Source organism: Homo sapiens, chromosome 7 (assembly GCF_000001405.40).
Source record: "Homo sapiens chromosome 7, GRCh38.p14 Primary Assembly".
Classification (NCBI taxonomy): domain Eukaryota; kingdom Metazoa; phylum Chordata; class Mammalia; order Primates; family Hominidae; genus Homo; species Homo sapiens.
The window spans coordinates 77,366,525-77,383,147 of record NC_000007.14 but is presented as its reverse complement, the minus strand read 5'-3'; the positions used below and the strand labels follow the sequence as shown (position 1 = coordinate 77,383,147).

General features: G+C 38.3%; 1 protein-coding gene across 29 annotated transcripts in view; it reads left to right on the top strand.

The window, feature by feature from the left end:
- The window catches only part of GSAP (gamma-secretase activating protein), a 105,880-nt gene that overhangs the window by 33,483 nt on the left and 55,774 nt on the right, over positions 1 to 16,623 (top strand). For 28 of the 29 annotated variants that reach the window (NR_146938.2, NR_146937.2, XR_007060056.1 and 25 more), the window contains 6 exons: positions 505 to 574; positions 1,794 to 1,843; positions 5,758 to 5,862; positions 6,241 to 6,300; positions 8,047 to 8,090; positions 8,993 to 9,078. Coding sequence is in view for 24 of the 29 variants with exons in the window: in NM_001350898.2 (NP_001337827.1) it covers positions 505 to 574; positions 1,794 to 1,843; positions 5,758 to 5,862; positions 6,241 to 6,300; positions 8,047 to 8,090; positions 8,993 to 9,078 (415 nt within the window). In the remaining 5 variants the exon portion in view is untranslated. Of the gene's footprint in view, positions 1 to 504; positions 575 to 1,793; positions 1,844 to 3,194; positions 3,302 to 5,757; positions 5,863 to 6,240; positions 6,301 to 8,046; positions 8,091 to 8,992; positions 9,079 to 16,623 lie in introns of those variants that run through there. The other variant, XM_011516330.3, reaches the window with a different exon arrangement.

The following is a 16,623-nucleotide window of genomic DNA, read 5'->3' as shown; positions in this document are numbered from 1 at the left end:
TGGCATGATCTTGGCTCACTCCAACTTCAACCTCCTGGGTTCAAGTGATCCTCCCACTTCAACCTCCTGAGTAGCTGGGACTACAGGCACGTGCCACCACACTTGGCTAATCTTTTGTATTTTTTGTAGAGATGCGGTCTTGCCATGTTGCCCAGGCTGGTCTTGAACTCCTGAGGTCAAGTGATCTGCCTGTCTTGGCTTCCCAAAGTGCTGGGGATACAGGTGTGAGCCACTGTGCCCAGCCAGAAGCCTTACTGTTAAAATAAGTGAAGATAGTGTTGTATTTGAGATCAATTCCCCTCTGGAAAACTGAGGTTCTGAAAGTGTTCTGTTTTCTTGCTTGCTTTGACCTGCAATGTGTGTGTGCAGGTGATTCCCCTAAACTCTTCTGTGATTCCCAGTTTCTTCAATGGTATGTAATAGTACAGTCATCAAACACAACTTTGGAAATACTTGTTCAAGCAAGATAGTTGCTTACAATTATGATTAATTTCTTTTTTACAGTTTCTCTACCCACATATTGAAAGTCATCCTCTTCCAGAGAACCATCTGTTACTGATTTCAGAAGAGAAATGTAAGTGTATCTTTAGGTGGAATATGGGAATTTCATGAATGGCATATCGTCTCCTAGTGTGGTACATGATTGAATCTTCTAGATATCCACCTGCCATTGCCAAGGGTCTGCTAAGCTTTGATGTCCATATGAGACCTGGAATTCCTTGGGAAGGGCTTTTCCTTTGGCCCCCAAGTGGTGTTCCCTTTGGCTGTGTTCAGCTTTCTCATCCTGGGAATGATGGGCTCTTGCATACATGGATCTGCAATTTTGTCCCATGGTAGAATGTTTGTAGAAAGTTGCATGGGTCATTTTTGTCATTTTTAGTTCATCTGTCTTTTGGATGTCTGTCATAGTGGATAACTATAATATGGAGATGCTTGGATGGAGAGAGGGGAAGATTTTAGTAGCTAGAAGAATCCCATGGCAGAACTTGAGAAGACCTACTAACTTAGACAGGTTCAGGTAGAGGCAAATAAGTTTAGGACATAAAAGGTTATGTCCTTCCATGATGGTTTCAAGTTAGAGAGGGAGAGGAAGGACAGAATTTACTGGTGGAGCTTATCTAGTAAGCTGTCTTTTGCATTACAAGATGAAACTGCTAGTTTATAGTTGGAAGGACAGGCTTGAGGGGTAAGGCTTTGTTCAGTCTCTAAGCTCTTGCTCAGTTTTGTAACTAGGACCAGCAGAAGGTAAATATGGCTGAATTCAAATTGTTACTGATAGAAAGAGACCATCTACACAGATTGTCTTTAGTGTTCAGGGTTTTGTTCACATGAAATTGACCTCTATTAAAATGCTTCCCCAAAATGTCTTGTATAATGAGTTTTTTATCTGGTATGTTCATACAAACAAGTGTTTGGTATTTGGGAATTGAAGAATAAACTCTGCTAAGTAAGCCCTTGTTAGCCCTATATAACGCTGATGGTATAGGGGAGTCAAGTACTTGCTGAGGGAACCCAGGGAAGCAGGAGGGCTAAATACTTCATGTATTGTTGATATTGAGGAGCAGAATAAATGCAGGACTTGAAATTAACTGTAAAGGGAGGATGGAGAAAAATGGGTTTTAAAAAGTTTTTGAACCTCTGTTGTGAGATTACAGTTTGTGATAGTGTTGTTTTTCTGGCCAGTTGTTCAATCTGCATTGCTTTTATAACAATGTTTTTACAAGAGTTAGGCAAAAATAGTACTCATATATTTCCTTAAGGTTAAATTATCTTTCTTTGTTTTTCTTTTAAAGATATTGAACAATTTCGTATCCATGTCGCCCAAGAAGATGGAAATAGAGTGGTAAAGATTTGAAATTCTTTTCGCTTCATAGGTTTTTTTTTCCCCACAAAGAAGTACATTACTAGACTGCTAAAGATAATGTTATTGATATATAATGTTTTCTTTATTTGATGACTTTTGAAGTATAGACTTGCTGTTTTAATGTGTGAAATGATACAAATATGTATGAAGTTAATTATCCCCTTTTTCTCTACCTCAACCCTCAATCTCAGTATCCTGAGGTAGCTAATAACAGCCTGTGTGTCTTTCCACAGCTTTTACCTTGCTCGTGCAAACCTATGCAAGGTTAGATGCACATATGTGGGGATTCAATTGTTTTTACCAAAGTAGAATCATAATACATATATTTACCTGCTGCTTTTGTGTTTACTTTTTGCTTAGCAGGTAAAAAGATCAGGAGTATCCCTATGGGTTACTAAAATAGAGATATAACTAATTGGTTATTTACTCTAATTTTCATATGTACGTATATGCATATCATGGGATCATACCATATATTTATACCATATATACAATCATACTATGTATCATGCCATATATGGGTTTCATAGAGTATAATTTTTTTTTGCTTGTTTTCCACATGTACTTTTTTTTTTAATCTCTTTTGTTCACAACCTGGTATGTATCATACTTTTTTCCACACTAATACTAATCTCCTACCCCCACCTCTTACCCACCCAGGGGTTTATTATTCATTTTTTACTCATTCAGCTTTGTGGCATTACCTACAAGTAAACTAGAATAGCTCCAATTCAGTCTCTTTAGAAGTAGATAATAGACCCTGGTGTGGATAGACATTCACTAAATTGCCAGTTTTTTGGTTTTGCTTTTGAATTATAAATCATCTTAAACCTTTTTTTCCTATAGCCTTATGTATTGGTACATGTATTTCTTTGAGCTAAATCCTCAGGGATGGATTGTTCGATGGGTACATGCATTTAATAAATTCCAACAGATTTTTCCAGATTGCTTTCCAAAAAAACTTCTAACAATTGACAGTTTTAGAAGCAAAATGTAAGAGTACATGTTCCCTCAATTCATATCACGAAAAGGTATGTTTACCTTTTAAAAAATTTCCAATTGGATGAGTCTAAGTTGATAGCATATTATCTTAGTCTGTGTCTCCCTTAATATTAATGCATTTCAGCATCTTCTCCTAAGCTTACTGGCTATTTGATTTGCTTTTTTGAAAATTGTTTAGTTGCATCCTTATCTGTTTTTCTACTGGCTTGTCTTTTTCTTGATAATTTGTATAGGATCTTAATATGTTATTGATATTAAAAATGATTTTCTTCAATATTTAGTCTGCATCAAAATTGTCTCTGAAGATTTTAACATTTCTCTGAAGATTTTAAAGTTAAGTGAACAAATTGAAACAGAAAATGGAATTTATCAATTGTGTATCAGCTATTGAAAGCCTCAAATCAAGAAGCCTGGCTGGAAAATTGCCAGGAGAAAGTATGTCACTGGAGCTCTGGGCTACCATTGTCCCGCAGGGGCTAAGTAGATGGGAGAACAAGGACAGACGGATGGGAGCACAAGGACAGAGAGGGCCAGGAGTCAGAAGAGGGTCAAGCCCAAGAGGAAAGATCAAGGCTGAATCCCAAAGCCAGTGATGAGAATTTAGGAGAGAAATAAATCAGCAAGTTGGGGTCAGGAACTGAGAGTGAGCATAGACAGGGGACTGGCTGGTTAGAAGAGGGCTTGAGAGCAAAAAGAGAGAGAGAGGCAGACAGACACACACTGGGAAGAGTGATGGTGGGGACACCTGTCAGCAGCCCAGAAAAGATTCTGCAATTCAGGATGGTGCAGCTTCAGCATTCCTTAATTCACATGTGTTCTTCCAAGAAGTACTTCTGCCTTCATTCTTAAAGGCTTAGATGACAGCTTCACACAGCATAAGTATAATACCATCTCTATCATGCAGGGATGTTGCAAAGAATATGCAATTCCACATATTCTTTGCAACATCCCTGCATGATAGAGATGGTATTAGGCTTATCCCTATTTTTACAGAGAAGACAGCAACCAAGACTCACAGAGGTGAGGTGACTCGATCTAGAGAGGAACAAAACTGAGATTTGAACCTGGGTATGCCACAATCTGACATTCATTTTCTTGTTAGTACATACCTTTACCTGGAACGGTTCTCAGATCTACTCCAACTCAACAAATTTCAGAAAAATGATTGTCCAAGGTTTAGAGACAGACAGGTCCTCTTGGATCTTTTCTCTGGCATCACTTTCCTCTTGTCTAAATATAATGGACAGGGTAAGCGGAAATAGTGGTTTACAACTCTTTATGCCACATGGCCCCCCTCAAGTTGCAAGTTACCATCGGTGGAGAAATCCCTATTAGGATTAGGGAGGGTTTAGGCATGAATATGGACCATTCTGGTGTTTCCTTTTTTCCTCATTTCTTCTACCCTAACCTGTCCTTATTCTTTACTCATCTACCTCAATGTAGATTACTTTTGCTTAATAAGCATTTTGAGGAAAGTTAATTCTTAACTGCTTCTGTTAAATTATTTCGAGGTCAGCTGATGCACTGAAAGGGCACTGGGAGGATTCCAGGACGTGGATTCCAGACCTTGCAGAACTAACTATGCAGCCTAATCTAACTGCTCAGGACCTCAGTTTTCTTACCTGTTAAGGGGTTGAATTGCATGGTTTCTAGAATCTCCTGATTTTAATGTTCCATAGTTCTGACTTTGTTACTTAGTAAACAAATATTTCAAATTTACTCTTGCACACCTTATTTCATTTTCTGCCTTTGTTTTTTTTTGTTGTTTTTTGTTTTGTTTTTTATTTTTATTTTTTTTGAGATGGACTCTTGCTCTGTCACCCAGGCTGGAGTGCAGTGGTGGGATCTTGGCTCACTGTAACCTCCGCCTGTTGGATTCAAGCGATTCTCCTGCCTCAGCCTCCTGATTAGCTGGGATTACAGGCATGCACCACCATGCCTGGCTAATTTTTGTATTTTTTTAGTAGAGATGGGGTTTCACCATGTTAGCCAGGCTGGTCTTGAACTCCTGACCTCAGGTAATCCACCTACCTCGGCCTCCCAAAGTGCTGGGATTACAGGCATGAGCCACTGTGCCCAGCCCATTTTCCGCCTTCCAAACAAACATTCCTTGAGCACTGTTACATGCTAGAAACAGTCAATGCATTGGTAATAGAAACGTGTTGTAGAAGAGTGCGTACTCACTGGGGGAGGCTTATAGCATTAATTAAAATGTAATTGTCAAAGCAGCATGCCAATGCACCATTGGAAAACAGGTGAGGATTATACTACATCTTGGGGATGTGAGGGAAGGCTTTGTGTAGAACACAATGTGTAAGTCAGGTCTTGAAGAATGAGTAGTTAAGTATTGCTGAGAGATGGGCAATATCATCATACTCATCATGGAAGACATAAAGGTGAGAGGCATGCCCAAAGCTGCATGGTTGGTTTATGGCCAAATTGGGGTCATTGCCTACTACTTTCCACTGTCAGGCCTGAGTTTTTCCTTGGCATCACAGCCTCTGTCTTTGGTAGTGGAGGGCTCTTGTCTGCAGAGGCTTGACTTAAGAGAGTTAGGTACAGAACAGTAAGTTCCGAATCTTCTATTAATGCAGCTATTGATTTGTGGGAGGTGTGGTGTTGTCTTCAACAGCCTCAGCCTGTCTGCTAAACTAAGAGCAGGAATAAAATCATATATTATACGTGGGAAGAAGAGGAGGCAATGAAATTATGTCTTAAAACATTTCTGGAAAGACTGTGTATACTAGGGGTGGGGAGCTTCTAACAGTGAACTGTGGAAATATTTACATGTATCATAAAGATAGACATGGAAAATAATTATGAATTCCAGATATGTTCTCCTTTAAAAGTTATTCATACTTTTTTTTTTTTTTTTTTTTTTGCATTTTTAGGTGATTAAAAATTCTGGCCATCTCCCAAGAGACAGAATAGCTGAGGATTTCGTTTGGGCTCAGTGGGATATGTCAGAACAGAGATTATATTACATTGACCTGAAGGTAAAAAAACTAGTTCACGGGCACTCCTTTTTTTTTTTTTTTTTTTTTACAAAAATATTAATTTTTTTAGAGACAGGGTCTTGCTCTCTTGCTGAGGCTGGAGTGCAGTGGTGTGATCATAGCTCACTGCAGCCTTGAACTCCTGGGCTCAAGTGATGCACCTGCCTCAGGCTCCTAAAACATGGATTACAGGCATGAGCCATAGTGCTTGGCCCCAGCACTCTTTTTTATAAGAACAATTTGATTTTGACATTATTATTACTGCAGTTCACTAATCATTACATTTTCATTGATGGAAATAGTGAAGTTTTGCTTCTTGACTGCTTCCTTTTCTTTTTTTCCTGGTTTTTTAATATGCCATTCTGTTTTCTCTTTTAGAAATCAAGGAGTATCTTAAAATGTATCCAGTTTTATGCTGATGAGAGCTATAACTTAATGGTAAGTCCAGAAAATGATCACACTACAGGAAAGTTTATGATACATTACTCTCTTTTTTTTTTTTTTTTTTTTGAGATGGAGTCTCACTCTGTCGCACACGCTGGGTGCAGTGGCGCGATCTCGGCTCACTGCAAGCTCTGCCTCCTGGGTTCACGCCATTCTCCTGCCTCAGCCTCCTGAGTAGCTAGGACTACAGGCACCCGCCACCACGACCAGATAATTTTTTTTGTATTTTTTGTAGAGACAGGGCTTCACTGTATTAGCCAGGATGGTCTTGATCTCCTTACCTCGTGATCCACCTGCCTCGGCCTCCCAAAGGGCTGGGATTACAGGCATGAGCCACTGCGCCCAGCCTATAGATTACTCTCTTTTAAGAGAATTGTTATCATAAGCAGCGCTTTAGCATTCCTGATGGTTGTGTTAGTTACTCGTATGAGCAAGTAAAATTAGTTCTTGCCACCTCCAGGTTTCCACTCTATAACAAATCCAGTTAATGTAGGTCATTAGAAGAACACACACCAGAAATGTCCAGTAACTAAATGCTTCACATCAAAGAAAAATGTGTAAGTGGGGATTAGTAGAAGGTGTCAGGTTGGTGCAAAAGTAATTGCAGTTTCTAATCATTTAAAAGTAATGGCAAGAACTGCAGTTACTTTTGCACCAACCTAATAATTGATGGGGTCTGTAAGAGATAGCTTTAAGGGGTTATAAGTTATTTGACCCAAAAGGACTTGTGAGGATGGTGGATTTGAGAATAAAGAGACAAGTCAATGAGAGGGTATAGTTTAACCAAAATCTAGCGTTACCCCTGAAAAAGCTATTTGGAATGTTAGCATTGTGTTCTATCAGTGGAAAAAAACTTCTAAAAATAGGAAAATTTCAATTTAAGAACTTGAATTTTTTAAAAAAAGATTAAAAAAAATTAGAATTGTGGTGAAGTGTTCTTAATATCTTTGTGATGAACAATATGGTGGTTGTTTTTTTGTTTGTTTTTTTTTTTTTTTAAGACGGAGTCTCACTCTGTTGCCCTGGCTGGAGTGCAGTGGCATGATCTCTCTTCACTGCAACCTCTGCCTCCTGGATTCAAGCAATTCTCCTGCCTCAGCCTCCCTAGTAGCTGGGATTACAGGCACCTGTCACCATGACCAGCTAATTTTTATATTTTAGTAGAGATGGGATTTCACCATGTTGGCCAGACTGTTCTTGAACTTCTGGCCTCAAGCAATCCACCTGCCTTGGCCTCCCAAAGTTCTGGAATTATAGGCGTGAGCCACCATGCCGGCCTATTCTTCTTGAGTAGGACTAATGTTGCTATCTAATACAGATTGTTATGCCATTGCAAGAATTGCACTTACCCCTCCTGCCCTCTGCTCTCCTTCTAAAGACACCCAGGCCTTCCTTCCTTCCTTACTCAGTCATCTATGTCTTGTAAAAGATGGTTGCTTCCAATTGGCCTATTGTACAACCTGTTTTTGATATTCAAATCTAAGACAAAGTTTGTCAAGCATTAGCCCTTTAAGAAATAAACAAACATCAAGCTCATGATTATATGTAAATTCCAGAGTATTTTCAATGGACTTTCTATGCAATGGATTTGGAGTATAATAACCTCTGAAGACAATGATGGTTAAATATCATTATTAGGCAAACATAATATTTTTCTGGTTTACTTGGGCTTGCTCTGGTTTTCAGAACTGTCATCACTTTCTGTCATTTTGGGTTCATTTTCTTTGATTTTTTTGACAGTTTGAAGTACCCTTGGACATATCATTAAGCAACTCAGGATTTAAGTAAGTTATTCATAGGTTGTTACTAATTTTTATAGATACTTGTGGGCAAAATGATTATATTTATTCGTACATTATATTATGCAGATAAAAAGAGAGTTTGATATTCTGTGTGCATCTTTTTTTGTATTCCCATTCTCCATAGCAAATATAAACAACTTTATCAAACATGAACCCAGGATTTTACATATAAGGTCAATTGTATGATTTTCTTAGCCATTTATTTCTGTAGTGCATCTCCATTTATTTTGGTATAAGGATATACCCTTCTCCCTGCGATTAAATAGAGGGATTCGATGGTTCAGAGAGCTACATTGACAATCAAACATCAAAACCCTTTTTGTTGACATCAAAGAGGATGTCACAGGTCAATCCACTTGTAGCTCAGCTGAATTAATTGGTTTTTTTTTTTTTCTGTTTTCCTTTTTACACAAAAGACAAGGTTTTTTTCCTTTTCCCACTCTATTTTACATGTAGCGGGAACATGAGATGCTTCTGAAAAAATAAGCATAAGGCCATCAATATGTAGAAGACATGAAAATCTTCCTAAATTAGAGTAATGATAATCCTGAACCGTTAAGTATTTCACTAGCTTTATTTCATCATATATGAACATTTAGCTGTGCTTACTTTGAAACTAGTGTGTGCATTACTCTATATCAGAAAAGTTATAAAAATGTAAGATGAAAGTAATATTTTTTCCTTGTTATCAGGCTGATGCCATTTATATACCATGTATTTTGAAAAAACTACAGAATTTATTAACCAAAAAAAGTTATCTACTTAAATTTCTCAGGAATGTGTTTCTACTTCTGTGGGTATATTATTTAGTGGTTACTCACATCCTTTATGAAGGGATGTATTTTTAAATGCATTCAATAATTTCTCATTCTTTATGTTCTTAGACTTGTCAACTTTGGATGTGATTATCATCAATACCGAGATAAATTTTCCAAACACCTGACTCTGTGTGTTTTTACCAACCATACAGGTAAACTAGGGTTGTATTTATCAATTTATTCAACCGTATTTGAGTTCTAGACAAAATTTACTCATTGTTTAGCTATATGGAGTCTGAAAATAGAACAGAGCTACATTTTTATGTCGGTGATCATATGGATTGTCATGTATCAAATCTTCATTAATTTTAAATATACACTGTCTGTATTGAGGAAGCCACAGTTATTCTTAACAGCAGAGTTATTCTTCTAGTAGTTATTATTTGTATGGTTCTAACAGAGAAAATGGATTGTATTTAACCAATCTACATTTTCTCACCTGCTTCATCTTTTAACAAATGACTAACAGCGATGGCTGTGCTTTCTGTGTCAGGCTTACTGATGTGTTTGGTTCTAAACTTACGTACCTGGCTTTAAGAGCCATGCTGCAGCCTACCAATGTAACAATCAGAGCTTGACATAAAGTTATTAATGTGAAATATTTTGTTCCTTAATACCAGTTTTCATAGATAGAAAAAATGCAGAGGGTAAAGAAAAATACCTAAAGATGAGAGAAGTTGAATATGATTACATTCAATAAATCTGGTGAAAAACTGCTCATTAACCTTAATAATCATCTAAATAATCAGCTCTGATAACTGCATGTAATAGCCATTTTTAATATCCCAACTTTAATGGACATTTACTACTTGAGTTAAGTAGCATTTGGACTAAAATTGTATTCCTTTAAAGCCAAATTATTGTGGGATATTCACCCATTAGGCCAACATTTACTGAGGACTTACTGTTTGCTAGGTGTTGGGGATATGATAAGTAAAACTGCCCTAATCTTTATTAGCGTAAAGGTTACTATTTGGCACAGATTTTAGACATTACATAAGTGCACACTTAGTATTTAAATAGAATCATATTATGAATGAGCATTATAGGAATTCATGAAAACTTATGGAGGTTTAATAGAAGATATTAGTGTCTTCAACCATGTTCTAGTTCAGCCAGTCCATCCTCATTTCTGCCTCCCTCCAAGATATTCCATCCCATTCCATTCTTAGTCCTGAAAATGGCCCCCTTTCCCACTTCACTCCTGCATAATCCATTCCTCTTTTTCCTGTCCATCCCAGGTATCCCTCAGCTGTACTCATCCCTTCATACACCAGTCCTAGGGAGCTCAAGGACGTGGTATTTCAGTAGAGACTTGAAGGATATGTATGAACTAAGACCATGTCACTGAAGTAGAGTGAGTGAGAGAGAGAAAGCTGGAGAGGCAGGCAGGGGCCAGGCTATGTGGGACCTTGTGGATCATGGGAGGATTTTAGACTTTATCCTAAGAGTGATGAGAAGTCATTGAAGGGTATTTTTTGTTACTATACAATTTATTTTGAGAATGCGCAAGCTCGCTGTAAAGTTCAAAAATGTAATGAACATCCGTTTACCTTTTACTTATACAATCATATCATTTACAGTATTTGCTTTATCATTCTCACTATATATATATGTATCATTTTATTTTTTGACCAAGTCCATTCAAAAATAGGTTGCAGACATCATAACACCTAACCAGTAGATAATTCAGTACACACCTCCTTTGATTAAGGACACTCTTCTACATAATCTGTTCCCTTATTACTGAAATAAATTAATCACATTAATCAATAAACTTTATTTTCTATTCAAATTTTCATAATTTCTTGAAAAACGTCATGTGTGTATATATAAATAAATATGTATGTATATAACTTTTAAAGTCAGGATTCCATCAAGATTCATACATTACATTTGGCCGTTTAAATCTTCATAGTCTTGCATTAACATGTGCAACAATTCTCATGTCCTACTCCCTGCCTTTCTTTTCTTTTCATTGACATATTGAAAAGTCCAGGCCATTTGTCTTGTAGAATGATCCACGTTCTGGATTTATCCAATTGTTTACTTACATAGGCATTTAACTTTTTCCTTTATACATTATTTGTAAATTGGAAGCTACACACAACTGAGTAAAGGCACAGTTAGACATAAGTTAAGCATTTTTAGTGAGAGTACTTCACAGGTGATGTTGTGAACTTCATTTGTATCAGATCAGGAGGCCTATAATGTCAGAATATCCTACTGTTAGTGATGCTAAGTCTGGTCATTTGGTTAAGTGGTAACTACTGTATGTCTCCCTTATGAGGGCACATTTTAACCTCTGAATTAGTAATTTATAGGATGGTACTTTGTCACCATGTGACTATTCTATTCTCAGCTTTTCACCTGTCAGTTTTAGGATTCACTGATACTCCTTCACTGAAGCGTCTGTGCAGGCAGTAACATGATTAGATACATATTTTCAAAAGATCACTGTGGCTGCTGTATGGAGGATGGATTGGGCCGGGTACGGTGGCTCACGCCTGTAATCCCAGAACTTCGGGAGGCCGAGGCGGGCAGATCACCTGAAGTCAGGAGTTTGAGAGCAGCCTGGCCAACATGGCGAAACCCCGTCTCTAGTAAAAATACAAAAAAATTAGCTGGGTGTGGTGGCACGTGCCTGTAGTCCCAGCTACTCAGGAGGCTGAGGCAGGAAAATCGCTTGAACCCAAGAGGCGGAGGTTGCAGTGAGCTGAGGTCACACCACTGCACTCCAGCATGGACAACAGAGCAAGACTCTGTCTTAAAAAAAAAAAAAAAAAAAAAGAAAAAAGATGGAGGACGGATTGGAGAAGGCAAGAGAAAAAGTGGGAAGATGAGCAGTTAAGTCTAGTCCTGTGTTTGAAATAAGGGTGAACTAGGATGGGCAGTACAGGTGGAAGGAACTAGATGGGTTTGGGATGCATTTTGGAGATGAAATTAAGATAATTTGCTATAAATTAGAGGAATGGTTCTCAGGTTTCTGGCATCAGCAAATGAGTGAACAGTAGTGTCGTTTACTGAGGTTATAGGGGTTTTGGTGGAGCTTAGGAAGATTGTGAGTTTTGTTTTAGACATGTTGACTAAAAGATCTGGAGCTTAGAAGAGGGGTCAAGACTGGCAATGAATAAATCTGGAAGTTTTTAGACTATAGCTGGCATTTGAAGGCATAGGAGGGGGTATTTGGTCAGGAGGGAGGACACTTATGAATAAGATCTGGGGACATAAATATATAAAGGTTAGGTGGAACATCCAAACGAAAAGGAAAAAAGAATGTCTGGAGAGAGAGAAAGGGAAAACCAAAACAAGTATGGTATTGTAGTAGCTGAAGGCACAGGGTAGTTTCACAAAGAAATGACTGAATTAGGTAGTGAGAGGTGGAGTCCACTGTGTCTAGTAGCATGAAGATTACTATGAGCTGTTTGTGTTGTGGAATTGAGGTGAAATCTTGACTATGCTGGGTTAAGTGGCATATGGGAATTGAGAAAAGTCATAGCAGCATGTGTAGACATGACAGAGGCAGCAGCTGGAAAGGGAAATAGGATTTAGGGAATATTTTAAGACAGTACAGACTCTAGGATGTTTGAATGCTCACAGCATATATTGAGTGGAGAGGAAACAGGAAAATACATAGCAGAGAGGATAACTGGTATAGTGAATTTGCTTAGAAGGTGGGATGGGATCCGGAGCTCACATGGAGGGAGCAGGGTGGGTTCTTCCCTGGTGCTTTGCTTTATTTATTTATTTATGAATGAGATGGAGTCCTGCTCTGCTCTGTTGCCTAGGTTGGAGTGCAATGGAACTCTCTCAGCTCACTGCAACCTCCTCCTCCCGGGTTCAAGAGATTCTCTTGCCTCAGCCTTCCGAGTAGCTGGGATTACAGGCACACATCACCATGCCTGGCTAATTTTTTTTGTATTTTTAGTGGAGACGGGGTTTCGCCATGTTGGCCACGCTGGTCTCGAACTCCTGACCTCAGATGATCCACACATCTTGGCTTCCCAAAGTGCTGGGATTACAGGCATGAGCCACCGCGCCTGGCCCCTGGTACTTTGCTTTAAATCTATTGGATATGAACAATCATTTTGGCTTTAATCCAGTGTGGCTTTTTATTCCTTTTTCTATTTCCACAGGAATTTCTCGTGACCATTACTAGCTGTAAGTTATAAATGGGGCTAGTTATGACATATTTAATAAAATGTTAGGTTTATCTGACATAAATTGTGGAAGAATCTGTTTTTCCCCTTCTCGGCAGTGTGTGGAAGGGTAGAAAATAAGCTTCACTCTTCACAATCAGCTTTGAAAAAATAAAAAAACGTGTTTCAAATGAGATGCTTCCAGATTTAAGATGAAACAAGCCAGAGAAGCAACCTTTTGTTTTTTGACTAAGAAATTGTTCATGTGTTTCCTATATTACTCTTCAAAAGTGTTTTTTTACCTTTGTTGTTAAACAAAATCTATTCCAGCAAAATAGGATAGGAGAAGGAAGCAAAGAGTATAATCTAAATGTGACTCCCTCTATAGCAGAAAGCTGAATTCTTCACTGGCATGGAGGCCAGAAACTGTGGTTCATGAAAGGAATGCTGATGGACTTAGGCCCTTATACAAACTTACTTCAACTATTTACATTAATGATGATGATATAATAATATTTGACATTTTGCTATCACATTTTGGTCATCAGAAGCTATTTTGTCCTTTCACCATTACTTTTTATATTCTTGAAAACATTTGTCCTGAATTTCCCAGCACTAAGAAATAAAGACGGCTGTCTTCCAAGGAACTAGAGGTTACAATCTAGGGATGGGCGTGCTCATGAGATTGGTGGTGGGCAAAAGTGCTGCTGCCACTGCTGCTGTCAGGCCACTTGTGTATTATTTAACATGAGTTTATATATATTTTTCTAATAAAAAGGATAAATCAGACTTTCTAAGCATTGAAAGCATATCTTACTATTTCCCTACCTAATAGTCAACTCTGAAGCTGTAGTGCTCTTGTGTGTTCTAAGTCAGTGGCTGTAATTCTTTCTTGTGCACCACCTACTGGGAGGGTAGTGAGTAGGGAAGTGTGTAAATTCTCCTTCCTATTCATATAACTGCACGAGTTGCTCTTCACAAGTTCCCGATTAGGCCTATGTTTTAGCACTTTATAGAGCCTTTTAATAATTGCTCCAATAACATAATTTCCCTTGGAAAACTTTGTCCACAGTAGTTTTCATTGTCCAAATGGTTTCCCCAAGGCTAGCCAACGTTGAGATATTATCTTCATCATTGATGAATTTCATTAAACATCTCTGGATACACCCTTAAGAGCATGCTTCCCCAGCTTGTAAATAGCAGCAAGACTGTTATGGAATAACACCAGCTAACCTTTATAGCCAGATATAACTTCTTTGCAACTAACAATCTAACAATAATAATCTCTTTATACACAGTATCTTATTTAATTATCTCACAAGAACCCTATGAAATAAGTTCTATATTTTCTTTATTTACAGATGAGGAAACTGAGGCTTAGATAATTTAATTAACTTGCCTGAGGCAATAGACTTAGTAAGCCAAAAGCAGGACTCACATCCAAATCTGCTGATTTCAAAAGTGGTTCTCAATCTGGGTTCACGTTAGAATCATTTAGTGAGCTTTAAAAAATACAAATGCCTGAGTCTCACCCCCCAGAGATTCTGACTTAATTCTTCTGATGTGGAACCTGGGCATCTGTGATCCCAAGTAAGTTTAATGTGCTGTCAGGGTTAAGAACCAGTGCTCTAGAGCTGTGTTGTCCAGTATGGTAGCCAATAGCCACATGTGGCTATTTGAATTTACATTAATTAAAATGAAAGAAAAAAATCCAGGGCTGATTAGAAGCAGCTAATGTGAGCCACTCTCACAGGGAAGCGTAAGTGCCACTCTCACAGGGAAGGGGCGAGTAAATGCAGCGCCTTCAACTGAATCATCCAGATGTTCACATTGGGACTAATCCAGGAAACAACTTAACCCATGGAGAATGGCAAAAAGCAAGGCAGGATGACAGCCCACCTAGGAGTGACACAGAGCCAGGGGAACTTCCACCACCCAGGGAAGTGGTGAGTAAATGTACAACTCCAGGAACCCATGCTAGACTAAGAAGACGAGAGAAGATCCAAATAAACACAATTAGAAATGACAAATGGGATGTTACCACTGACCTCACAGAAATAAAAATAATCATCAGAAACTACTGAGAACACCTCTAAGTACACAAACTAGAAAACCTAGAAGAGACAGATAAATTCCTGGACACAAACAGCCTCCCAAGGCTGAACCAGGAAGAAATTGATTCCCTGAACAGACCAATAATAAGCTCCCAAATTGAATCAGTAATATATAACCTACCAACCGAAAAAAGCTCAGGATCTGATGGATTCACAACTGAATTCTACCAGACGTACAAAGAAAAGCTGGTACCATTCCTACTGAAACCCTTTCAAAAAATTGAGGAGGATGGACTCTTCCCCAGTTCATTCTATGAGGCCAGCATCATCCTGATACTGAAAACCTGTCAGAGACATAAGAACAAAAGAAAACTTCAGGCCAATATCCTTGATGAACGCTGATGCAAAAATCATCAAAATACATGGAAACCAAATCCAATAACATGTCAAAAAGCTAATCTACCACAGTCAAGTAGGTTTCATCCCTGGGAGGCAAGGTTGGCTCAACATATGCAATTCAATAAATGTGATTCATCACATAAACAGAATTAAAGACAAAAACCACATTTATCTCAATAGATGCAGAAAAGGCTTTCGATAAAACTCAATACCCCTTCATGTTAAAAACTCTGAATAAACTAGGTATTGAAGGAAAACCTCAAAATAATAGCCATCTATGACAAACCCATAGCCAACATCATACTGAATGGGCAAAAGCTGGTAGCATTTCCCTTGAAAACTGGCACAGGACAAGGATGTCCTCTCTCACCACTCCTATCCAACATGGTATTGGAAGTCATAGCTAGAGCAATCAGGCAAGAGAGCATCCCAAATAGGAAGAGAGGAAGTCAGGCTATCCCTGTTTGCATACGGCATGATTCTGTAGAAAACCCCATAGTCTCAGCCCAAAAGCTCCTTCAACTGATAAACAACTTCAGCAAACTTTCAGGATACAAAATCAATGTACAGAAATCTCTAGCATTTCTTTACACCAACAAGAGCAAAGTCAAGAGCCAAATCAGAAAGGCAATCCCATTCACAATTGCCACAGAAAGAATAAAATACCTAGGAATACAGCTAACCAGGGAGGGGAAGTTAAAGATGTCTACAATGAGAATTACAAAACACTGCTCAAAGAAATCAGAAGTTACAAAGAAATGGAAAAACATGCTCATGGATAGGAAGAATCAATATCATTAAAATGACCATACTGCCCAAAGCAGTGTACAGATTCAATGCTATTCCTATCAAACTATCAATATTCTTCACAGAACTAGAAAAAACTGTCTTAAAATTCATATGGAACCAAAAAAGCCTGAGTAGCCAAGGTACACCTAAGCAAAAAGAACAAAGCTGGAGATATCATGTTACCCAACTTCAAACTATACTACAGGGCTACAGTAACCAAAACAGTATGGTACTGTTACCAAAACAGGCACATAGACCAATAGAATGGAATAGCGAACCCAGAAATAAGGCTGCACACCTATGACTACCTGATCTT